We start from the raw sequence: 26,016 nt of genomic DNA, 5'->3' as shown, positions 1-26,016 counted from the left end.
AGTCTATCGTTGATGGACATTTGGGTTGGTCCCAAGTCTTTGCTATTGTGAATAGCGCCACAATAAACATACGTGTGCATGTGTCTTTATAGCAGCATGATTTATAATCCTTTGGGTATATGCCCAGTAATGGGATGGCTGGGTCAAATGGTATTTATAGTCCTAGATCCTTGAGGAATCGCCACACTGTCTTCCACAATGGTTGAACTAGTTTACAGTCCCACCAACAGTGTCAAAGTGTTCCTATTTCTCCACATCCTCTCCAGCATCTGTTGTTTCCTGACTTTTTAATGATCGCCATTCTAACTGGCGTGAGATGGTATCTCATTGTGGTTTTGATTTGCATTTCTCTGATGGCCAGTGATGATGAGCATTTTTTCATGTGTCTGTTGGCTGCATAAATGTCTTCTTTTTAGAAGTGTCTTTTCATATCCTTTGCCCACTTTTTGATGGGGTTGATTTTTTCTTGTAAGTTTGTTTAAGTTCTTTGTAGAATCTGGATATTAGCCCTTTGTCAGATGGGTAGATTATAAAAGTTTTCTCCCATTCTGTAGGTTGCCTGCTCACTCTGATGGTAGTTTCTTTTGCTGTGCAGAAGCTCTTTAGTTTAATTAGATCCCATTTATCAATTTTGGCTTTTGTTGCCATTGCTTTTGGTGTTTTAGTGATGAAGTCCTTGCCCATGCCTATGTCCTGAATGGCATTGCCTAGGTTTTCTTCTAGGGTTTTTATGGTTTTAGGTCTAACATTTAAGTCTGTAATCCATCTTGAATTAATTTTCATATAAGGTGTAAGGAAGGGATCCAGTTTCAGCTTTCTACATATGGCTAGCCAGTTTTCCCAGCACCATTTATTAAATAGGGAATCCTTTCCCCATTTCTAGTTTTTGTCAGGTTTGTCAAAGATCAGGTGGTTGTAGATATGTGGTATTATTTCCAAGGGCTCTATTCTGTTCCATTGGTCAATATCTCTGTTTTGGTACCAGTACCATGCTGTTTTGGTTACTGTAGCCTTGTAGTATAGTTTGAAGTCAGGTAGCATGATGCCTCTAGCTTTGTTCTTTTGGCTTAGGATTGTCTTAGCAATGCGGACTCTTTTTTGGTTCCATATGAACTTTAAAGTAGTTTTTTCCAATTCTGTGAAGAAAGTCATTGGTAGCTTGATGGCATTGAATCTATAAATTACCTTGGGCAGTATGGCCATTTTCACAACGATTCTTCCTATCCGTAAGCATGGAATGTTCCTCCATTTGTTTGTGTCCTCTTTTATTTCGTTAAGCAGTGGTTTGTAGTTCTCCTTGAAGAGGTCCTTCACATCCCTTGTAAGTTGGATTCCTAGGTATTTTATTCTCTTTGAAGCAATTGTGAATGGAAGTTCACTCATGATTTGGCATTCTGTTTGTCTGTTATTGGTGTATAGGAATGCTTGTGATTTTTGCACATTGATTTTGTATCCTGCAGAAGTTGCTTATCAGGTTTAAGGAGATTTTGGGCTGAGACGATGGGGTTTTCTAAATCTACAATCATGTCATCTGCAAACAGGGAGAATTTAACTTCCTCTTTTCCTAATTGAATACCCTTTATTTATTTCTCTTGCCTGACTGCCCTGGCCAGAACTTCCAACACTATGCTGAATAGGAGTGGTGAGAGAGGGCATCCCTGTCTTGCGCCACTTTTCAAAGGGAATGCTTCCAGTTTTTGCTCATTCAGTAGATATTGTCATAAATAGCTCTTATTATTTTGAGATACAGCCCATCAATACCTAGTTCATTGAGAGTTTTTAGCATGAAGGGCTGTTGAATTTTGTCAAAGGCCTTTTCTGCATCTATTGAGATAATCATGTGGTTTTTGTCTTTGGTTCTGTTTATATGATGGATTATGTTTATTGATTTGCGTATGTTGAACCAGCCTTGCATCCCAGGTATGAAGCCAACTTGATCCTGGTGGATGAGCTTTTTGATGTGCTGCTGGATTTGGTTTGCCAGTATTTTATTGAGGACTTTTCCATCGATGTTCATCAGGGATATTGGTCTAAAATTCTCTTTTTTGGTTGTGTCTGTGCCAGGCTTTGGTATCAGGATGATGTTGGCCTCATAAAATGAGTTAGGGAGGATTCCCTCTTTTTCTGTTGATTGGAATAGTTTCAGAAGGAATGGTACCAGCTCCTCTTTGTACCTCTGGTAGAATTTGGCTGTGAATCTGTCTGGTCCTGGACTTTTTTTGGTTGGTGGGCTATTATTGCCTCAATTTCAGAGCCTGTTATTGGTCTATTCAGGGATTCAGTGTCTTCCTGGTTTAGTCTTGGGAGGGTGTATGTGTCGAGGAATTTATCCATTTCTTCTAGATTTTCTAGTTTATTTGTGTAGAGGTGTTTATAGTATTCTCCGATGGTAGTTTGTATTTCTGTGGGATCAGTGGTGATATCCCCTTTATCATTTTTTATTGTGTCTATTTGATGCTTCTCTCTTTTCTTCTTTATTAGTCTTGCTAGCAGTCTATCAATTTTGCTGATCTTTCCAAAAAACCAGCTCCTGGATTCATTGATTTTTTTGAAGGGTTTTTTGTGTCTCTATCTCCTTCAGTTCTGCTCTGATCTTAGTTATTTCTTGCCTTCTGCTAGCTTTTGAATGTGTTTGCTCTTGCTTCTCTAGTTCTTTTAATTGTGATGTTAGGGTGTCAATTTTAGATCTTTCCTGCTTTCTCTTGTGGGCATTTAGTGTATAAATTTCCCTCTACACACTGATTTAACTGTGTCCCAGAGATTCTGGTATGTTGTGTCTTTGTTCTCATTGGTTTCAAAGAACATCTTTATTTCTGCCTTCATTTGGTTATGTATCCAGTAGTCATTCAGGAGCAAGTTGTCCGTGTAGTTGAGCAGTTTTGAGTGAGTTTCTTAATCCTGAGTTCTAGTTTGATTGCACTGTGGTCTGAGAGACAGTTTGTTATAATTTCTGTTCTTTTACATTTGCTGAGGAGTGCTTTACTTCCAACTATGTGGTCAGTTTTGGAATAAGTGTGATGTGGTGCTGAGAAGAATGTATATTCTGTTGATTTGGGGTGGAGAGTTCTGTAGATGTCTATTAGGTCCATTGGGTGGGTGCAGAGCTGAGTTCAAGTCCTGGATATCCTTGTTAACTTTCTGTCTCATTGATCTGTCTAATGTTGACAGTGGGGTGTTAAAATCTCCCATTATTATTGTGTAGGAGTCTAAGTCTCTTTGTAGGTCTCTAAGGACTTGCTTTATGAATCTGAGTGCTCCTGTATTGGGTGCATATATATTTAGGAGAGTTAGCTCTTCTTGTTGAATTGATCCCTTTACCATTATGTAATGCCCTTCTTTGTCTCTTTTGATCTTTGTTGGTTTAAAGTCAATCAGAGACTAGGATTGCAACCCCTGCCTTTTTTTTTGTTTTCCATTTGCTTAGTATATCTTCCTCCATCCCTTTATTTTGAGTCTGTGTGTGTCTCTGCATGTGAGATGGGTCTCCTGAATACAGCACACTGATGGGTCTTGACTCTTTATCCAATTTGCCAGTCTGTGTTTTTTAACTGGAGCATTTAGTTCATTTACATTTAAGGTTAATATTGTTATGTGTGAATTTGATCCTGTTATTATGATGTTAGCTGGTTATTTTGCTCATTAGTTGATGCAGTTTCTTCCTAGCCTCGATGGTCTTTATAATTTGGCATGTTTTTGCAGTGGCTGGTACTGGTTGTTCCTTTCCATGTTTAGTGCCTCCTTCAGGAGCTCTTGTAAGGCAGGCCTGGTGGTGACAAAATCTCTCAGCATTTGCTTGTCTGTAAAGTATTTTATTTCTCCTTCACTTATGAAGCTTAGTTTGGCTGGATATGAAATTCTGGGTTGAAAATTCTTTTAAGAATGTTGAATATTGACCCCCACTCTCTTCTGGCTTGTAGAGTTTCTGCTGAGAGATCAGCTGTTAGTCTGATGGGCTTCCCTTTGTGGGTAACCCAGTCTTTCTCTCTGGCTGCCCTTAACGTTTTTTCCTTCATTTCAACTTTGGCGAATCTGACAATTATGTGTCTCAGAGTTGCTCTTCTTGTGGAGTATCTTTGTGGCGTTCTCTGTATTTCCTGAATTTGAATGTTGGCTTGCCTTGCTAGGCTGGGGAAGTTCTCCTCGATAATATCCTGAAGAATGTTTTCCCACTTGGTTTCATTCTCCCCATCACTTTCAGGTACACCAATCAGACGTAGATTTGGTCTTTTCACATAGTTCCATATTTCTTGGAGGATTTCTTCATGTCTTTGTATTCTTTTTTCTCTAAACTTCTCTTCTTGCTTCATTTCATTCATTTGATCTTCAATCACTGATACCCTTTCTTCCACTTGATCAAATTGGTTACTGAAGCTTTTGCACACGTCACGTAGTTCTCGTGCTATGGTTTTCAGCTCCATCGGGTCATTTAAGGACTTCTCTTCACTGTTTATTCTAGTTAGCCATTTGTCTAATCTTTTTTCAAGGTTTTTAGCTTCTTTGCGATGGGTTCGAACATCTTCCTTTAGCTTGGAGAAGTTTGTTATTACCGATCGTCTGAAGCCTTCTTCTCAACTTGTCAAAGTCATTCTCCGTCCAGCTTTGTCCTGTTGCTGGTGAGGAGCTGTGTTCCCTTGGAGGAGAAGAGGTGCTCTGATGAGTATTTTCAGCTTTTCTGCTCTGGTTTCTCCCCTTCTTTGTTGTTTTATCTACCTTTGGTCTTGATGATGGTGATGTACAGATGGGGTTTTGGTGTGGATGTCCTTTCTGTTTGTTAGTTTTCCTTCTAACAGTCAGAACCCTTAGCTGCAGGTCTGTTGGAGTTTGCTGGAGGTCCACTCCAGACCCTATTTGCCTGGGTATCACCAGCAGAGGCTGCAGAACAGCAAATATTGCAGAATGGCAGATGTTGCTGCCTGATCCTGCCTCTGGAAGCTTTGTCTCAGAGGGGCAGCCGTCTGTATGAGGTGTCAGTCGGCCCCTACTGGGAGGTGTCTCCCAGTTAGGCTACTCGGGGGTCAGGGACCCACTTGAGAAGGCAGACTGTCCATTCTCAGATCTCAAACTCCGTGCTGGGAGAACCACTACTCTCTTCAAAGCTGTCAGATGGGGATGTTTCAGTCTGCAGAAGTTTCTGCTGCCTTTTGTTCGGCTATGCCTTGACCTCAGAGGTGGTGTCTACAGAGGCAGGCAGGCCTTCTTGAGCTGCAATGGACTCCACCCAGTTCGAGCTTCCCTGCTGCTTTCTTTTCCTACTCAAGCCTCAGCAATGGCGGATGCCCCTCCCCCAGCCTCACTGCCACCTTGCAGTTTGATCTCAGACTGCTGTGCTAGCAGTGAGCGAGGCTCCGTGGGGGTGCAACCCTCTGAGCCAGGCACGGGATATAATCTGGTGTGCTGTTTGCTAAGGCCGTTGGAAAAGCGCAGTATTAGGGTGGGAGAGTCCCGATTTTCCACGTACCGTCTGTCACGGCTTCCCTTTGCTAGGAAAGGGAATTCCCTGACCCATTGCACTTCCCAGGTGAGGTGATGCCCTGCCCTGTTCCGTGGGCTGCACCCACTGTCTGACAAGCCCCAGTGAGATGAACCCGGTACCTCAGTTGGAAATGCAGAAATCACCCGTCTTCTGCGTCACTCATGCTGGGAGCTGCAGACTGGAGCTGTTCCTATTTGGCCGTCTTGGAACCACAGCCAATTAATTACTTCTAGGAGTCTTTTAATAGATTCTTTTGGATATTCTACAAAAACAATCATATCATATGCAATAAAAAGTTTTACATCTTCCTTTCCAATCGGTATACTTTTTAAATTTTTTTTCTTGCCTTGTTGCACTAGCTGGGAATTGCAGTATGATGTTGAATCACGGTGGCAGTAGAGGTTGTCTGTCATCTTTGCCTTGTTCCCAGCCACGGGGGCGAGCGTCCAGCCTCCCACCATTAAGTATGGATGAGTTTAGCAATAGGTTTGTTGTACATGTTCTTTATCAGGTTGAAGAAGTTCCCCTCCAAGTTTGCTGAGAAATTTGTTTTTAATCATGAATAGGTGTTGGGAATAGGTGTTAGATTTTGTCAGGCTTTTGCTGCCCCACCAATTCATATGATCATATGATTTCTTTAGCCTGTTGATATGGTGGGTTACATTGATTGTGATAACCAAAATGAGTGACTGAGGTAGGTGTCACAGTCAGTGGAGGCTTATTGGGCCATCTCGAAGGCGTGCCCAGAAAAAACACAAGTTACAGACACATCTGTGGCTGATTTTTTGGTTCTCAGGAGGTTTAGTGACAGGAATACTTGCATATTTGTGAGGTTTTAGTTAGTGCCCAGTAGATGTACGTTTTACACAAGATAAGGTGAACCTCTGAAGGAAAAGGGGACAGAGGAAGCAGATGCCTCAGGGAGGGATGAAGGAAGTGATGCAGGATATTTTCTTGACCCCTTCACAGGACTCGCGACAGGGGTGCCCTGTTTACTTGGCCTGCCCCGCTCAACCCCTCACGGGAGGGAGCATGTGAGCAAATGAGCATGGGAACTGGCCAGCCACTTTGGTGCCAGCAGGAGCAAACTCTGCTCACTCAGGTCTGCTGTGCTCCACCCATCACAGGAGAAAGCACGCAGGCAAGTGAGTGCAGGAACCGGCTGCTTTAGCACCAGCTGGAGCGAACTCCGTGCAGGCCATGTGGTAGCATCTAGGTGGGGGTGCCTGCAACCCCAAGGCCCTAGAGGCCATGATACAGTGCTGCCTTAGCTCCGCCATCTACAGACAGCAGCGTTATCCGCTCAGTGGACCCTTTGGCTCGTCACGTGGGGTGGCTGCTCTCCGCCAGTGAGGGCAAAGAGCCAGAGTGACAACCTTTTTGGGCACCCACACTTGGCACCTCCTGAATTCTTGTCCAGTGCCCAAGAGGAATGAGGTCATGCAGACGATTGAAGGATAATGAATATGGAGAATTTTATTGAGTGATGAAAGCTGCTTTCAGTGGGGAGAGGAGCTGGAAAGGGGCTGAGAAGGGCAGCCTGAAATTAATTGCCTCTCTGCCTCATGCAGCCATCGTCTCTGAAGTCAAGGTGCCTCTCTTGATGTCCAGCTGTTTTTTCCTGACGTCCAGCCACTTCTCCCCTCTGTCAGCTGAGTCTGAGTCTTTGTAGGCACAGGATGGGGCCGAGCTGTAGGTAGTTTTGGAAAAGACAACATTCGATTGGTAAAAAGACATTCAGAAAGAACCAATTGGGAGAGAGCGGGCACACACGTTTGGAAGTTCTCACTTTGGGCTGTGGGTTTCAGGCTTCCTGCTCAAAGGTGGGGTTTTGCCAGGGACCTGTCCCTGTCTGCCTAGAATTTCTCTGCCTCCTGTCCCTATCATTGTATCAGAATAATTAATCTCATCTTGTCTTTGTTCTGTACATGGGAAGATAAGCTAGTAATCGACATTATCAGTGTGGAGTCTTTTGGAGAGCCGGTTTCTGTTTATCTCCTAGGGAAGAAAGCCTAATGGAGGTTAATGAGATGGGGTATATTGAAGGGTTTGTTACTGGTGGGAGGTATCCAAAAGTTACCAGTGGCCAATTCATGCGGGTCTGCAGCAATCTCATTTCTTGCCTCCTCAGAAGAAAGAATTTGACTGATGGGCGTAAGGAAGAAAAAGAGACCGAGGCAAGTTTCAGAGAAGTAGTGGAAGATTTTTCAAAAAAGCTGTAGAACAAGAAAGAAAGTATGCTTGGGAAAGACCCAAGCGGGCATGTGAAGGGTAAGTGCAGTGTTTAACCATGATCCTAGGACTTTATAGGCTGACCCACTTCCAGTGTCTTGCACACTTTTCCCATGATTCTCCTTAGGGTGGGCTACCTGCATGTACAGTGCCCTCCTTACACTTGGGAAGTGAGCACGAGCAGTGTGTTTAGGAAGTTGTATGCACGTCCATCTGAGGCTTTTTTCCCTTTTCTTGTGGAGTGCCCCTGGAAGGTCATACTCTGCCATTTTGTCTCTTAATGCATGTGCCCGGCTCACTCGTCCAATACCTGAGATTTTGTTGGAAGCCCTTTTTGCTTCTCCCTGGTGCCTTCATTCAATTAACACTTTAGTGTAACAGGTGTGGGCCATCAGGAAATGGCCTCTCTCTGGCCCCTGCTGCCAATTTATCACTTTTAGAAAGGTAGTGTGATAATTGCTGAACCATCACCTGACATCTCTAGTGGGTGGGAAAGAGCCCTCTCCTGCCCCCGCCATACCTGTCTAACTACTGGTAACAGGCGTGTGACCTGAACTCAGCTTCCAAGGTTTCACCAGGGTCCCCTTGGCCAAGAGAGGTCCATTCAGTCATTTGGGAGATTACAATTTCATTTTTATTCCCAGCTGATTCTTAAATATACCTTTAAGTTGATTCTTAGATATACCTTTGCATATCTGGATTAAATCCCACTGGGTCTGGGTGTATGATAGTTTTTAGACATTGCTGGATTTGACTTGCTAATATTTTGTTGAGGATTTTTACTTTCTATGTTGATAAGAAGTATTAGTCTGTAGTTTTCCTTTCTTGGATTATATGTAGCTGGTTTTGGTATTAGGGCCACTTTTGGCCTCATGGAATGAGTTAGTCTTCTCTGCCTCTGTTTTCTGAATTGTATTATTTTTTCCTTAAATGTTTGGTAGAATTCACTAATCAACCTCAGCCTGGGATCTTTTTTTGTTTGTTTGTTTTTGGAAAGGATATTAATTTTTGATTCCATTTCTTTAATGAATAATGAATATAGGGTTAGTAAAGTCTTTTATTTCTCCTTGTGTGGGTTTTGGCAGTTTGTCTTTTTGAGGACTTGGTCCATTTCATCTAAGTTTGATAATTTGTGGGTGTCAACCTGAAACAAGCTGAAGCAAAATTATTGTAAGTAAAGAGTTTATTTGGGCAAAGCCTAAGGATTGCAACCCAGGAGCATAGAGTCAAGTTGCCCTGAATATACACACTTACTAGCAGCAGTTATAAGTAAGTGGATTTTTAAAGGCAAAATTGTGGGGGACAGGGAATGAACTAATAAAGAGTTGTTTGTCAGGAATTCTCACTGGTTTACAGACGTAGCATTGAGTTATTGGCTATACGTTAAGCTATAGATTGTGAATTATAGCATTATTAGGTTAATTCATAGTTACTTATGGCAATAACAAGCAGTTTCAAGAGGTGAATACACAGCTCAGAGGAGGTGGGTTGGTGAGGGGAGGTGGGGCGTGATTTCGGTCTCATTTTAATGTCTCTTTGGGCCTGATGGTTAAAAAGACTTGAATTCCTCAGATAAGATCTTTTCTCACAGGCATAGAGTTAAAGTTATTCATAGTATTCCTTTATTGCTTTTTTAATATCCGTGGGATCAGTTGTTATGACTCCTCTTTTATTTCTAATATTGGTCATTTGTTTTCTCTCTTAGTTTATCTTGGCTAGAGATTTATGAATTTTATTCATTTTTTCCCCAAAGAACTAGGTTTTGGTTTTGTTGATATTTTTTGTTTTCTTTTCCTCATGTTCGTTGCTTTCTGCTCTGATTTTTATTGATTCTTTCTGCTTGCTCCTCTTTTCTAGTTTCTTAAGGAGGTAACTTAGCTTATTGAGTTTAGATCTTACTTCTTTTCTAATATGTGCATTCCTCCTGTAAACTGTTGATAAAAGAGTCAAACTCTGTGAAATGTTTAAGGAGGTTTATTTTGAACCAAATGAGTGACCAGGGTCTGAGGCAGTCTCAAGAAGTTCTGAGAACAAGTGCCTAAGGTAGTTGGGTTACAGCTTGGCTTTAAACGTTTTAGGGAGGCATAAGACATCAGTCAGTATATGTAGGGTATACACAGACATTGGTTCCACCTAGAAAAGCAGGACAATTCAAAGTGGGGGCATATGGGTCATAACTGGATTAAAAGATTTTCTGATTGGCAATTGGTTGGAAGAGTTATTATCTAAAGACCTGGAATCAATAGAAAAGAGTGTCTGAATTAAGATAAGGGGTTGTGGATACCAAGGTTCTTAATACATAGATGAAGTCTCAAAGGTGGCCGTCCTTAGAGACAATAGATGGCAAATGTTTCCTATTCGGACCTTTAAAAGGTGCTAGACTCTCAGTTAACCGCTTCAGGATTGAGAGGACCTGGAAGCAGGGATCTGATTATGTTAATAGAGTCTTTACAAATACAGTTTTTCTCCACCAAAAAAAAAAAAAAATGGCTTTGCAGGGTCATTTCAAAATATGGCAGAGAAACGTGTTTTGGGGTAAGATATTTTGATTTCCTTCTCTATCTGTCATGTGATGTTATGCCAGAGTCAAGTTGGAAAGTAGCCATTTATATAGGGTTAAATAAAACCCCTCTGATGGAATTTCATGGTTTGCAGGGTGTGACTCCCCAGACCCCTTAGATAGGAATTTGGACAAGAGGAAAAAGGTCAAAGTTTAGTCCTCAAAGCACTGCTTTGCTGCATCCCACAGATTTTGTTAAGTTGTATTTTTTTCAATTACTTCAAAATATTTTTAAATTTCTTTTTAGAAGTTTGAAGATTTTTTTTTAGAAGTATGTTGTTTAAATTCCACATAATTGGGAGTGGGGGGAGTTCCCGGCTATCTTTATGTTAATGGTTTCTAGTATCTCTTTTAGTTTGAGAACATAACTTTGCATGATTTTCATTTTTTAGAATTTGTTACAGTATATTTAATGGCCCAGCATGGGGTCTGCTTGTTGAATGTTCCATGTGAACTTGAGTGGAATGTGTATTCTGCTGTTGTTGAATGGAGTATTCTATAAATGTCAGTTAGATCAAATTGATTAACATTGTTGTTTAGTTTAACTCTATCCTTACAGACATTCTGCCTGCTGGGTTTATCAAGGTTGTTGACCGGAGTGTTGACGTCTCTAAGAGTGAATTTCTTTCCTCCTTTCTGTTCTGTAGTTTTCACCTCATTTATTTTGATCCTCTCGTTAGGTATATACGTGTTTAGGATTGTTATGTCTTCTTTTCATTCTTGTTATTATACAGTGCCCCTCTTTAACTCTTATAATCAAAGAATGTTTGCAGTCTGCTTTGTCTGAAATTAATCTCCAGTATCACTTTTTTTTTTCTTTTTTTGAGACGAGTCTCACTCTGTTGCCCAGGCTGGAGTGCAGTGGCGCGACCTCGGGTCACTGCAGCCTCCACCTCTGGGGTTCAAATGATTCTCCTGCCTCAGCCTCCCAAATAGCTGGGATTACAGGCGTGCACCACCATGCCCGGCTAATTTTTTTTTATATTTTTAGGAGAGATGGGGTTTCACCATGTTGGCCAGACTGGTCTCGAACTCCTCACCAGGTGATGTGCCTGCCTCGGCATCCCAAAGTACTGAGATTACAGGCGTGAGCCACCGCTCCCAGCCCAGTATCACTTTTTAAAAGACTTCTTGGGAGCCTATTTATTTTGCAAGATTTGCAGTTTCCCTTATCAACTCATTTGTACTGTTGTTGGATTATCTGTGAGAGTCTGTTAGGAGCTGATGTTAATTATTCATTTGGGAGGGATGAGTCAGGGGATTAATTTTTGTAGGTGGATAATTACTAATGAATGTTTTTATATGATGACAGTTTTTGTTTTGCCAGTCAACTTTGTACACCAGATAAAGAATATTCGTGTAAGATGGAGTATCTGTATTTATTGCAGTGCTCATTTATAGGGGTGCTAATTCAGATCTCACTGTCTGTTACTTAGGATATAGTTAAAGTGTCTGTTCTCAACATGTTAGTAGTAAGGTAGAGCTGGCATTGGGAGTGGGAAGGCATGTGTGGTACCACCTGATGTTGAAGGAAGGGGACTGATTGACTATATGGTAATGGCTACTATAATTACATTTACCACTGGGAGAACCTTTGTCTAGAGAGGCTAAGTAATTATCTGGAAGTCTCTATAATTCTTAAAAAAAAAAAAAAAAAAGGCTTGCAGTCTTGCTGTATTGTCCAGGCTGGAGTGGAGTAGCTGTTCACAAATGCATTACAGCCTCAAATACCTGGGCTCAAGTGTCCTCCCATCTCAGCCTCCCGAGTAGCTGGAACCACAAGCCGAAGCCACTGTGTCTCGCCATCTTGTAAATCTTTGTTCTATGCTGATGCCAGATCAAATAGTGAGACATCACTCTACACTTTTTTTCTCTCCACCATTGATATGGGGGTGGGGAAGAAAATAAATACCAGGCAATTCTTCTCGCCATTCAATAACGTAAGTGATTTATAACTTGATAACTTAGTCCGAAGGCATTATAGTGTAAATAATACTAATATCAACAATTCATCAGATTTTAACATTTGTAATCATAAATAACATTTATGATGCTCATTAGTTTACAAAAGTGTCTTTACATCAGAAATTTTATGTAATTCCTGGTGACAATCCTGTAAAGTCATCTTCATTTTAGTAGTGGACATGGGCTTGGTTCCTGAAAGGGAATTATGTGGAATTATATCCCCAAAGCATCAGAACCCAGATCTTATTTTTTCCCCCACTATACTACACTGCTTCTATAGAACAAGAGGCCTCAAAACATTATTCCCCATGGTGTCAGCTGGACTAGTTTACCATATCATATTTAAATGGTGTGTTTTATGAGATTTTTATTATTTTATTTTATTTTTGAAACGGAGTCTTGCTCTGTCCCCCAGGCTGGAGTACAGTGGCATGATCTCAACTCACTGCAATCTCCACCTCCTGGGTTCAAGCAATTCTCATGCCTCAGCCTCCCGAGTAGCTGGAATTACAGGCACACACCACCATTCCCGGCTAATTTTTGTATTTTTAGTAGAGACAGGGTTTTGCCATGTTGGCCAGGCTGGTCTCGAACTCCTGACCTCAAGCGATCCGCCTGCCTCAGACTCCCAAAATTCTGGGATTACAGGCGTGGGCCACCTCACCTGGCTTATTTTATTTTATTTTTCTGAGCTGGAGTCTTGCTGTGTCACCCAGGTTGGAGGGCAGTGGCCCGATCTCAGATCACTGCACCCTCCGCTTCCCGGGTTTAAGTGATTCTTCTGCCTCAGCCTCCTGAGTAGCTGGAATTACAGGTGCCCACCACCACACCTGGCTAATTTTTGTATTTTTAGTGGAGATGGGGTTTTGCCATGTTGGCCAGGCTGGTCTCGGAACTCCTGATCTCAGGTGATCCACCCGCCTTGGCCTCCCAAAGTGCTGGGGTTACAGGTATGAGTAACCACACCTGGCCTTTATGAGATTTTAAAATTACACTGTGCTTAAACTCTATACCCTAACATCAGTTTTTGTGGATTATGTAGCAGTGTCTGTCTTTTTACTTCCTAATGGTTAATGATTGATTTTCAAATGAATTGATTTAAAATGGAAACCTAAGTATTACCTAATTTTTTTGAAAAATTGTCTTTGTAGAAGCTGAAACCTATCAACACTCTTCAAAATGCAATGGAATGTACCACGGACTGTATCTCGACTGGCACGCAGGACATGCTTGGAACCACATAATGCTGGTCTCTTTGGACACTGTCAAAATGTAAAGGGACCTTTACTTTTATACAATGCTGAATCCAAAGTGGTTTTGGTACAAGGCCCTCAAAAACAATGGTTGCATTTATCTGCTGCCCAGTGTGTTGCAAAGGAAAGGAGGCCATTGGATGCTCATCCACCCCAACCAGGAGTCCTTCGCCATAAGCAAGGGAAGCAACATGTTTCATTCAGGAGGGTTTTTTCATCCAGTGCCACAGCTCAGGGAACTCCGGAAAAAAAGGAAGAGCCTGATCCTTTGCAAGACAAATCTATTAGTCTTTATCAACGATTCAAGAAGACATTTAGACAGTATGGAAAAGTTCTGATTCCAGTGCATCTAATAACTTCTGGTGTTTGGTTTGGAACATTTTATTATGCAGCCTTGAAGTAAGTTTTTGCTTAGTTGAATGTCTTTCCCTGTCTTACCAGAATATTAATCTTTTTAATTGTACTAATGATAGCTTTAGATTTTTAAATGCTTTAATGTTTTTCATCAATAGAGGATAACTGTTTTTTCACATTTTAATAATAATAGCTAACATTTGCTTACTGTTTGGAGCAAGCATCTGGTGCAGTTTTTAACTGTTTCATCTTATTTAATCCTCCCAGCAACCATATAAAGCAAGTTACACAGTTACACCCATTTTATGAATGAGAAAACAGATTAGGCAAGGAGAAGTAAAAATAGTTCAGCTTTTCCCAAAATAACTCAGTTGCTAAGAAGTGGTGCCTGGACTAAAAACCCAATTAGGTGCGTCTGATCTCAAAGCATACACTCTCCTATATGCAGATCTCATCCTGGCATTCAGGAAAGCACAGACATAAAATAATCAAATTTCAGAAATTTGGCAGCACCATGACTCCATAATTATATATTTCTTAGAATGTTCATAAATGTGAAAAGATGTCTATTTTGCCATATGTATGGTTTTGGTGGGAAATTTGCAAGATTTTGCCAAAGTCCGGCTAATTTGTTTGCATTGATATTACCCAAGTCCAGTAAGTGTCAAGGAAAGGTCTTTTGTTCTGATCAGAAATTAATCTAGTAGGTCTAGCCTCCCAGTGTTTTGAAACATACAATTTAAAGTGCATCTCTCTTGTTAATACTATGCCTTCCCCTTAAGGTAAGTTATTTGCTTCACACTGCTTTAGGCTTAGGAGGACCAGTGATTTCCCATTTCTGCCACTAGTCGGCCGAGTGCCCATTCCTCAGTGTCCGGGCCTGGTGTGCGTGAAGGACTTAGACACTTCAGTAAACTCTCCTAATTGGTTGAGAATTATTTTATACTTTCCAGAGTTGAGTGGTTTTCAGTGCTTGATTATATTTAATGGCTTGATATCAAGACATTAACAAAATATGGTTAGTGTTGTACGTAAAGCTCACTCTTTAGAAGCAGCCTATTGCAGACTAAGCTATAAGTAGCTCTTCCAGGATGATGGAATAGAAACTACCTATTTTTGGGAACACAGGACCACATAGATTTCTTGACAAAATTTCTAAAAGGATTTTTTTTCACCTTGTGTAATTGATGCTGTTCTGTTTCACTTTGTATCTTTACATTATGTTCCTCTTATTTAATTATATCCTTCTTCATTGCATATCCTTTTCTTTAAGAATTGTATCTTTCCTTGCAGAAGATTCTTTAGGTGTATATTTTATGGAATTGTTTCTTGGTTTATTAATGACATTTTTGGACATGATTAATATTTATAGAAGTCTTCAAAACTGCCCTTGGTTTTTTGACAGAAAATAAAGTTACCATTTTGATCAAAAGTTATTGTAGGCATTCAGTCCTGCTATGTAATGAATGGATTTCTACATATTAAATTTTCTTTTTTGAGTCATGGAGGATTTTTGTGATTCAGTCTGTGAAAGATGACATGAAAAATACATATGTGTTTCTTTTGCCCTCGTCAGGTTGCCCATGTATGATAAGGCAAGGCATTCGGCCTCCTGGCTGGCCTTAGAGGGAGAAATTCAAGCTTTTAATTAATTGAATATGAGATTCTCATTTAGGCTATTAAGAATAATATTTTTGTTCCTTTTACTTTTCCTTATTCTCTGGTAAAAGTTCTGTAACTGAAAAAGTAGACCCAGAATAATCTAGTGATCTTAATAATGCTTAAGATTTCTTCAGTGCTGTGGGCATCTGAAGCAGCTGTGGGTGATGCTCTGTCATCCCCTGTAAAATGCAACTTTCTTAGTTTTATTTTCCTCCCTCTTTTTTGCAGAATGCTTATATGTAAACATGGTGATACAACTGTCTACTTTAAAATAATACCCTTCCCCATTACACCTTGCTTTGGGGCTATTTGTTAGCATAGGAATCGGGTTGCTAGACCACCACTACTGCCCCGCCACGACCACTGGGTCAATTCTGTCATAGCATCACGTAGAGAATTTATAATGGGCAGGATGGGTTGCTTTCCAGAACAGTCCTCCTTGGGGTTTTTATTAGATCCTTCAAAATTTGAAAGTCAATTTATTCTATATGAAGATCTTAATCACAAGTAATGCTTAAAAAAATCAAATTCATGAATGAAAGAAAAAGGAATTCGAATATTTTCACTGTAGGATGATTGTATTTAAAAGTTGAAGTTGATTATACTAAATACAGATTGTCAATTCACCTGACAAGAGGCTAGTTATATTTTAGTGTTGTTCGTTTGTTTGTTTTAACTGGAAAAAGTTCTGTGTTATTTGCTTGTTGCCTACTTACTATTAAAAGAAAGGGAGAAAAATAGTTTGTAGCTGGAAAGATGGGCATTTGACATCATGCCTCATTACTGACCAGTGTTTGTCTTGGTTACCCTGATAGCTCGCATTACTGCCTTTCTAGGCATCGTAGAGCAAAATGTCATTCTATATTTAGAATGACAGAGTGATGAAGTTCTCAGGTTTTTGAAATACTTTATTTCAGGGAGTTCTAAATTGTGCATGCTAATAGATTTTATTTTAAACTGAGCTTTGTTGCCGCTCCTATCTGGCAAAGCCTTGCAGAGATCTGGTGTCTTATGTCCAGAAGTGCTTTAGTTTGATCAAGTGTGGCTCAGCAATGATGATGTGGTCCCTGCATTTAGATGCCTTGTGTTTGAGACCTCAAGTTCCTAAAGTTACAGATCCACTGTGAGGCAAAACCCTGATTGATTTCTACTGCACTTTATCCAGACAGTGAATGTGCTTTTGTCCTTGTGTGTTTCTTCATCTGTGGAAACAGTTGTAAAGCTGGCAGTTTGAGAAGCACAGATTCCTGGCTGGCTGTGGGCACTTCAGAGTAGAAAGTGACAAACAGTAGATGTTTCTGTTTGAATCAGACCCTCATTAATACTTCATGTTCAGTAATTCCAGAGGAAATGAAAGTTATTTTTAAGAAAAGTCATCAACAGTTTAGAAATAAGTGGGGCCGGGCACAGTGGCTCACGCCTGTAATCCCAGCACTTTGGGAGGCTGAGGCAGGCGGATCGTCTGAGGTCAGGAGTTCGAGACCAGCCTAACCAACATGGAGAAACCCCATCTCTACTAAAAATACAAAAATTAGCCAGGCATGGTGGTGCATTACACTACAGAATTGCAGAGCCTGTAATCCCAGCTACTTGGGAGGCTGAGGCAGGAGAATCGCTTGAACCCAGGAGGCAGAGGTTGCCATGAGCCGAGATCTCACCATTGCACTCCAGCCTGGAGCGAAACTCCATCTAAAAAAAAAAAAATATTGGAACTAGATGCTTGCTTCTTTATCTGACAAAGGATGCAGGCCAGTGACAATACAGCTTGTGCTTGGAGTCTCAGTCCATTGTTTGTATGATCTTTTATTTTTTAATTTTTTATAGAGACAAGTCTTGACACCACGCCTGGCCTAAACCTTATCTTAATGAGATTTAGTTGTTATCTAGAAAGAGATTTGAAAAAGAATTGAAACTGAAGATAGAAGATAGAAGAAATGAGATTGGACTCGTAGTTTATTTTTTAATTCATCTCTTTAAACTTCCCTTAAGTTGTTCTGGTTTCCTCTGACTTTTGATGATAAGTAATTTTAATAGTCCTTTCTTGAGGATGATCAGCCATATCTACCGAGGGTGCTCCCTGACTGCTTAGTATTATGGTGAAGTCACAGAGTAGGACATCTTTTCCCTAATTAATATTAAAAATTAAGAGTTTACCGCTACCGTTATCATAATAGATCTAGGCAATGCTCTTTCTTAATGACATAGGGAAAGCTGCTTTTACAGTGGAGGTCTACCGACCCTGCCTTCACCAAGAGGCAAACTCAGTAATACTAATAAGGGAGGAGACCACCCCTCGTATTGTCTTATGCCCAATTTCTGCCTCCAAAGAAAGAAGTAAAAACTAAAAGGCAGAAATGAAGTCCACAAGCAGACAGCCCGGCGCCACACCCTGGGCCTGGTAGTTAAAGATCGAACCTAATCTGTTATCTGTAAATTACAGACATTGTATGGAAAAGCACTGTGAAAATCCCTGTTCTGTTCTGTTGTGTTGTGTTCTGTTCTGTTCTGATTACTGGTGCATGCAGCCCCCAGTCACGTACCCCCTGCTTACTCAGTCGATCACGACCCTCTCACGCGGACCCCCTTAGAGTTGTAAGCCCTTAAGCGGGACAGGGGCCGGGCGTGATGGCTCACGCCTGTAATCCCAGCACTTTGGGAGGCCGAGGTGGGCGGATCACAAGGTCAGGAGATCCAGACCATCCTGGCTAACATGGTGAAACCCTGTCTCTACTAAAAACACAAAAAATTAGCCGGGCGTGGTGGCGGGCACCTGTAGTCCCAGCTACTCGGGAGGCTGAGGCAGGAGAATGGCGTGAACTCGGGAGGTGGAACTTGCAGTAAGCCGAGATTGCGCCACTGCACTCCAGCCTGGGCGACAGAGCGAGACTCTGTCTCAAAAAGAAAAAAAAAAAAAAAAATAGAGGGACAGGAATTGCTCACTCAGGGAGCTCAGTTTTTTGAGACATGAGTCTTGCCGATGCTCCCAGCCAAATAGAGCCCTTCCTTCTTTAACTCAGTGTCTGCGGGGTTTTGTCTGCAGCTCGTCCTGCTGCACTAAGGATGGACAGACTGGCTTTATGTGTCCCTTGTTGTGATGTGCTGAGGTGGACAGTGTCCATTCTGTCGTTTTCCTGTGCGAAAGTACTTAACGTGAATCTCCTCTTGAGGAAACAATCAGACAAACCCAAGTTGAGAGATGTCCTTCCAAGTAGCCAGCCTGCATGCTGCCCTCCTCCACCATAGAATGCTGAGAAGCACTTCTAGAGAAAAGCAGACTAGAGAGACAGGAAAAATAGCCATAAAGGACATACTGGGACAATTTAGGAAACTGTAATCTAGATTATATATTAACTGTAGACTATTGTGTATGTTATAAATGTGATGCTTATGTAGGTGAATGTCTTCGTTCTGATTTAGGGGCGAAGGGTCACAGTGTCCAAAGAGAGCAAGAGCCATCATGGCAAAATGTTAATAATCAGGAAACGAAATAAAGAAGCCAGGGCTCAGGAATGTTAATAATCAGGAAACTGGAAATAAAGAGGTCAGGGGCTCAGGACTGTTAATAATCAGGAAACTGGAAATAAAGAAGCCAGGGCTCAGGAGTGTTAATAATCAGGAAACTGGAAATAAAGAGGTCAGGGGCTCAGGAATGTTAATAATCAGGAAACTGGAAATAAAGAAGCCAGGGCTCAGGAATGTTAATAATCAGGAAACTGGAAATAAAGAAGCCAGGGCTCAGGAATGTTAATAATCAGGAAACTGGAAATAAAGAAGCCGGGGCTCAGGAATGTTAATAATCAGGAAACTGGAAATGAAGTCGGGGCTCAGGAATGTTAATAATCAGGAAACTGGAAATAAAGAGGTCAGGGGCTCAGGAATGTTAATAATCAGGAAACTGGAAATAAAGAAGTCACCACGGCTCAGGAATGTTAATAATCAGGAAACTGGAAATAAAGAGGTCAGCGGCTCAGGAATGTTAATAATCAGGAAACTGGAAATAAAGAAGTTACCACGGCTCAGGAATGTTAATAATCAGGAAACTGGAAATAAAGAGGTCGGGCTCAGGAATGTTAATAATCAGGAAACTGGAAATAAAGAAGCCAGGGCTCAGGAATGTTAATAATCAGGAAACTGGAAATAAAGAAGCCTGGGCTCAGGAATGTTAATAATCAGGAAACTGGAAATAATGAAGCCAGGGCTCAGGAATGTTAATAATCAGGAAACTGGAAATAAAGAAGCCAGGGCTCAGGAATGTTAATAATCAGGAAACTGGAAATGAAGTCGGGGCTCAGGAATGTTAATAATCAGGAAACTGGAAATAAAGAAGCCAGGGCTCAGGAATGTTAATAATCAGGAAACTGGAAATAAAGAGGCCAGGGCTCAGAAATGTTAATAATCAGGAAACTGGAAATGAAGTCGGGGCTCAGGAATGTTAATAATCAGGAAACTGGAAATAAAGAGGCCAGGGCTCAGGAATGTTAATAATCAGGAAGCTGGAAATGAAGTCGGGGCTCAGGAATGTTAATAATCAGGAAACTGGAAATAAAGAAGCCAGGGCTCAGGAATGTTAATAATCAGGAAACTGGAAATGAAGTCGGGGCTCAGGAATGTTAATAATCAGGAAACTGGAAATAAAGAAGCCAGGGCTCAGGAATGTTAATAATCAGGAAACTGGAAATGAAGTCGGGTCTCAGGAATGTTAATAATCAGGAAACTGGAAATAATGAAGTCGGGGCTCAGGAATGTTAATAATCAGGAAACAGGAAATAAAGAAGCCAGGGCTCAGGAATGTTAATAATCAGGAAACAGGAAATAAAGAAGCTGGGGCTCAGGAATGTTAATAATCAGGAAACTGGAAATAAAGAAGTCACGGCTCAGGAATGTTAATAATCAGGAAACTGGAAATAATGAAGTTGGGGCTCAGGAATGTTAATAATCAGGAAACAGGAAATAAAGAAGCCAGGGCTCAGGAATGTTAATAATCAGGAAACAGGAAATAAAGAAGCCAGGGCTCAGGAATGTTAATAATCAGGAAACTGGAAATAAGTCACGGCTCAGGAATGTTAATAATCAGGAAACTGGAAATAAAGAAGTCGGGGCTCAGGAATGTTAATAATCAGGAAACTGGAAATCAAGAAGCCAGGGCTCAGGAATGTTAATAATCAGGAAACTGGAAATGAAGTCGGGGCTCAGGAATGTTAATAATCAGAAAACTGGAAATAAAGTCGGGGCTCAGGAATGTTAATAATCAGGAAACTGGAAATCAAGAAGCTAGGGCTCAGGAATGTTAATAATCAGGAAACTGGAAATGAAGTCGGGGCTCAGGAATGTTAATAATCAGGAAACTGGAAATCAAGAAGCTAGGGCTCAGGAATGTTAATAATCAGGAAACTGGAAATAAAGTCGGGGCTCAGGAATGTTAATAATCAGGAAACAGGAAATAAAGAAGCCAGGGCTCAGGAATGTTAATAATCAGAAAACTGGAAATAAAGTCGGGGCTCAGGAATGTTAATAATCAGGAAACTGGAAATCAAGAAGCTAGGGCTCAGGAATGTTAATAATCAGGAAACTGGAAATAAAGTCGGGGCTCAGGAATGTTAATAATCAGGAAACTGGAAATCAAGAAGCTAGGGCTCAGGAATGTTAATAATCAGAAAACTGGAAATAAAGTCGGGGCTCAGGAATGTTAATAATCAGGAAACTGGAAATCAAGAAGCTAGGGCTCAGGAATGTTAATAATCAGGAAACTGGAAATAAAGTCGGGGCTCAGGAATGTTAATAATCAGGAAACAGGAAATAAAGAAGCCAGGGCTCAGGAATGTTAATAATCAGGAAACTGGAAATAAAGAAGCCTGGGCTCAGGAATGTTAATAATCAGGAAACTGGAAATAAAGAAGCCAGGGCTCAGGAATTATAATAATCAGGAAACTGGAAATAAAGAAGCCAGGGCTCAGGAATGTTAATAATCAGGAAACTGGAAATGAAGTCGGGGCTCAGGAATGTTAATAGTCAGGAAACTGGAAATAAAGAAGTCGGGGCTCAGGAATGTTAATAATCAGGAAACTGGAAATAAAGAAGCCAGGGCTCAGGAATGTTAATAATCAGAAACTGGAAATAAAGAAGCCAGGGCTCAGGAATGTTAATAATCAGGAAACCGGAAATAAAGAAGCCAGGGCTCAGGAATGTTAATAATCAGGAAACTGGAAATGAAGTCGGGGCTCAGGAATGTTAATAATCAGGGAACTGGAAATAAGTCGGGGCTCAGGAATGTTAATAATCAGGAAACTGGAAATAAGTCACGGCTCAGGAATGTTAATAATCAGGAAACTGGAAATAAAGAAGTCGGGTCTCAGGAATGTTAATAATCAGGAAACTGGAAATAAGTCACGGCTCAGGAATGTTAATAATCAGGAAACTGGAAATAAAGAAGTCGGGGCTCAGGAATGTTAATAATCAGGAAACTGGAAATCAAGAAGCCGGGGCTTAGGAATGTTAATAATCAGGAAATTGGAAATAAAGAAGTCGGGGTTCAGGAATGTTAATAATCAGGAAACTGGAAATGAAGTCGGGGCTCAGGAATGTTAATAATCAGGAAACTGGAAATGAAGTCGGGGCTCAGGAATGTTAATAATCAGGAAACTGGAAATGAAGTCGGGGTTCAGGAATGTTAATAATCAGGAAACTGGAAATAAAGAAGTCGGGGCTCAGGAATGTTAATAATCAGGAAACTGGAAATGAAGTCGGGGCTCAGGAATGTTAATAATCAGGAAACTGGAAATAAAGAAGTCGGGGCTCAGGAATGTTAATAATCAGGAAACTGGAAATAGGTCAGGGGCTCAGGAAGGTTAATAAGGAAACTGGAAATAAGTCATGGCTCAAGACTTAATAATCAGAAAATTGGAAATAAAGAAGTCGGGGCTCAGGAATGTAACTGGAAATAAGCCAGGGCTCAGGAATGTTAATAATCAGGAAACTGGAAATAAAAGAAGTCGGGTCTCAGGAATGTTAATAATCAGGAAGCTGGAAACGGAGAAGTTGCGGCTCAAGTTGGAGACTTTCTCTGCCTTCTCTCCTGTCTCCAGAAATTTGTCGCGGTATATGTTAATTGCTCCTTCACCTGCCTTAAGTCTTTTAATAGAATAGAAGCATCCTTTTAGAGTAATTGAAGTTTTCATCAAACCCATAGTGTCGTTTATTCTTTGCATAATAACAGACTAAAGTGATGTTAAAATATCTCTTGCTTTTACAGTGCAATTTTACACATAAAATTACATGTAATTGGCTGGGCACTGTGGCTCATGCCTGTAATTCCAGCACTTTGGAAGGCTGCGGCGGGCAGATCATGAGGTCAGGAGATGGACACCATCCTGGCCTACATGATGAAGCCCCATGTCTACTAAAAATACAAAAATTAGCTAGGCGTGGTGGTTGCGTGTCTGTAATCCCAGCTACTCAGGAGGCTGAGGCAGGAGAATCGCTTGAACCAGGGAGTCAGAGGTTGCAGTGAGCCAAGATTGCGCCACTGCACTCCAGCCTGGCAACAGAACAAGATTCTGTCTCAAAACAGAACAGAACAAACTAACAAACCATGTAATTTTAAAGGTAAAAATTTTAGGTCTTAAAATGTGAGTTGGAGCATTCTAAGGAAGTGGTATTTGGTTGAGGAAACTAAGACCAGGCAAATGATTCTGATCCTTTTCTCATAGTTTATTTAAAGCTGTTAATTTTATTCTAATAACTGCCTCTATTTTTCTAAACATACTAGGATGCCCACATGAAGCAAATAGAAGTTGTAGGCGATAAGATACCGTGTGATGTGATGTTTGTGTGCATGTTGCATATTGTACATCAAGTAAGATGTTCTCTTAGAGTGAAGGTAAAGTGCTTGATAATGTAGAATCAACTTTTAAGCAAAATTTAATAAAATTATAGTGTGGTTTTGGTATTTTCAGATAATTTTTGAAAATATCATTAAAAGTTTGTACATATGAAAATTACTTTTTTTTTTTTGTAGAGGAGTGAATGTCGTTCCTTTTCTAGAACTCATTGGGTTACCTGACAGTGTGGTAAGCATCCTGAAAAACTCCCAGAGTGGAAATGCCCTCACAGCATATGCCTTGTTTAAGGTGGGTACTGTAACAAACCCATTGCTCCTCAGAACTCACTGGTGGTGACCTGCTCACTTTCCCATGAGATTCCATGTTAGCTTCCAATTGTATTTCGTAACTTGAAACGCTGTATTTCATCTCTGATATGTCTGGTGAATAATGTAAGATAATTTTTTTTTTTTTTTTTTTGGAGATGGAGTTTCGCTCTTGTTTGCCAGGCTGGAGTGCAGTGATGCCATCTCGGCTCACTGCAACCTCCGCCTCCCAGGTTAAAGTGATTCTCCTACCTCAGCCTCCCGAGTAGCTGGGAGATAACAAGATAACAAAATAAAGTGGAAGTAAAAATGTGGTTTTAGGAAGAAATGCCTTAAAAATTGGTAGATCATTCATAACTTCCTGTGGTCAAATAATTGTTAGACTTATGTGATTTTCCATGGTAGTAGTCATCTGTTTGACATTGCTCCCGTTGATAAATGGAGATATAATTATTTTAAGTATAATTATATTTGTTTTTTCTTATTCAGTGATCTGCATGCCACCTGATTTGTTAGCAAAATTTAGCATTTATTTTACTGTTTTTTGTTTTGTTTTGTGTGTGGTTTTAAGGAGCAGAGAGTTTAATAGGCAAGAAGGGGCAAGAAGGAAGGGAGAAGGAAGAAGCTCCCCTGTACAGAGACAGAAGGGGGGGGCCTCCAAAGCCAAAAGAGGAGATCCCCCTATTTTACTGTTTTTAATAATTCATCTTTTCTTAGCAAGTAAAATAGGTTTAATCCAAATTGTCTTATATGATAAACCCTTTTCTGTTAGATTTTAACCTAACATATGTTTCATTTTAAAAGTTGATAATCTTTGTAACTATTCTCCGGATTCAGACAACTTTTTTGAGACGGAGTTTCACTCTTGTTTCCCAGGCTGGAGTACAATGGCGCGATCTCGGCTCACCGCAACCTCTGCCTCCCGGGTTCAAGCAATTCTCCTGCTTTAGCCTCCCAAGTAGCTGGGATTACAGGCATGTGCCACCATGCCTGGCTAATTTTGTATTTTTTTAGTAGAGACGGGGTTTCTCCATGTTGGTCAGGCTGGTCTCAAACTTCTGACCTCAGGTGATCTGCCCGCCCTCGGCCTCTCAAAGTGCTGGGATTACAGATGAGACCCACTGCAGCCGGCCTGACAGCATCATCTTGATAGCTTCTATGCCTATGGGTCTTTATTTTGGAAGGGAAGACTCACTGTAAATTGTGGAGTTTAGCCATATTAATCTCATTTTCTAAACTGACAAATATTTATGAGGGTCTGTGAAACTTCTACCTAAGGAAGTTGAAAACACAGAAACTAGATGTTTTATTTTACTTCTGTTGTATAAGAATATCTAAGAATTACAGTTTTACAGCATTACTCAAAAGTAGCATTGTTTCATTCTGTCATCCTCATTAGCATCCTCTGAAATCTTGGTAGATTTCCTCTTTTATTATAATTTTGATGAGAGGGCTAACATTTAATTTTTGAGTTTTTCTACATTAAAGTGTATTAAATTTAAAAATTATCAAGTTTCTAATTATGGTGGGTATAATTTTAACCCGAGTAAGTCAAACTATCATGCTGATGTAAACCTTCCCTAATTTAATTGCTCCTTATCCCACTCCCATAGCATGACAGTTGATAGCACAGTGTGTGCTAGGTGTTAAGTGTTTGTTTTATTTGATTAGGAGCTCCCAGGAACTCAGAATCATGTCTTCTTTCTTGTTTTTTTTCACTGCACCTGGTATTATGTTCTGTAGGTGAATAAAATGCTCAGCACGTGTTTGTGGAGTTGGGATTGAAAATGAGGCTGTAGGCGTCATGGTAGGGAGATGAGTGCCAGTGGTGTTTCTTCCCCCTCACTATTCCTCTGTGAAGTAGGAGATATGGAGGGGATTCTCCTTTGTATTATCTGTAACCCCCAGTTTCTCAAATAGAGCAACAGACACAGATTTATTGCTTCAACAAGACAAAGTCCCCAAATGAAGTATGGCATGTATGGTCTGGTGGCAGTTGGCTACGGGATATATTCACTGACTGCCTCATAATCTCTTTGAAATACACCCAGAGTTTTAGTCATCCTCTGCTGTGTGCTAGGTACCATTCTAGGTACTGGGAATAAACGAATCAAAGAAGACAGTGCAAAATACCTGCCTCATAGGGCTGATAGTGTAGTGAGTGGTAGTGGGTTGGGGAGACAAGGTAAAGTTAGAAATGCATGCACACACAAAGTGTGTGTACGTAGATGATGGTAACTGCTAAGAAAGGAAACCAGGGATGGGGGTATGGATTTGTTTTTCAATGGGAGATGGCACACCTTGCTGAGAAGGTGAGAGAGTTGCTCCTCCAAGAGGGAGGAGCATTCCAAACAGAGAAAATCCGAAAGACAAA

General features: G+C 40.7%; 1 protein-coding gene across 3 annotated transcripts in view, besides 3 other annotated features; it reads left to right on the top strand.

Moving 5' to 3' along the window:
- The window catches only part of FAM210A (family with sequence similarity 210 member A), a 63,212-nt gene that overhangs the window by 31,072 nt on the left and 6,124 nt on the right, over positions 1-26,016 (top strand). For 2 of the 3 annotated variants that reach the window (NM_152352.4, XM_024451083.2), the window contains exons 2-3: positions 13,382-13,882; positions 23,514-23,625. In NM_152352.4, the coding sequence (NP_689565.2) occupies positions 13,410-13,882; positions 23,514-23,625 (585 nt within the window). In that variant the 5' untranslated portion in view covers positions 13,382-13,409. Of the gene's footprint in view, positions 1-7,604; positions 7,745-13,381; positions 13,883-23,513; positions 23,626-26,016 lie in introns of all 3 variants that reach the window. The other variant, NM_001098801.2, reaches the window with a different exon arrangement.
- Positions 6,694-7,239: an enhancer, noted in NCBI's record as "H3K27ac-H3K4me1 hESC enhancer chr18:13688247-13688792 (GRCh37/hg19 assembly coordinates)". NCBI's record gives its function as "activates a minimal SCP1, AML or CMV promoter by ChIP-STARR-seq in naive H9 embryonic stem cells {active_cell/tissue: H9 hESC(naive)}" and the evidence as "EXISTENCE:reporter gene assay evidence [ECO:0000049][PMID:30033119]".
- Positions 18,920-20,119: an enhancer, noted in NCBI's record as "P300/CBP strongly-dependent group 1 enhancer chr18:13675367-13676566 (GRCh37/hg19 assembly coordinates)". NCBI's record gives its function as "activates an origin of replication core promoter dependent on BRD2, BRD4, P300/CBP, MED14 and CDK7 cofactors, with strong dependence on P300/CBP, by STARR-seq in HCT116 cells {active_cell/tissue: HCT116}" and the evidence as "EXISTENCE:reporter gene assay evidence [ECO:0000049][PMID:35650434]".
- Positions 21,338-22,537: an enhancer, noted in NCBI's record as "P300/CBP strongly-dependent group 1 enhancer chr18:13672949-13674148 (GRCh37/hg19 assembly coordinates)". NCBI's record gives its function as "activates an origin of replication core promoter dependent on BRD2, BRD4, P300/CBP, MED14 and CDK7 cofactors, with strong dependence on P300/CBP, by STARR-seq in HCT116 cells {active_cell/tissue: HCT116}" and the evidence as "EXISTENCE:reporter gene assay evidence [ECO:0000049][PMID:35650434]".

This window comes from Homo sapiens, chromosome 18 (assembly GCF_000001405.40).
Source record: "Homo sapiens chromosome 18, GRCh38.p14 Primary Assembly".
Classification (NCBI taxonomy): Eukaryota; Metazoa; Chordata; class Mammalia; order Primates; family Hominidae; genus Homo; species Homo sapiens.
The sequence above is the reverse complement of the archived record's forward strand: the minus strand, read 5'-3'. Positions and strand labels throughout refer to the sequence as shown.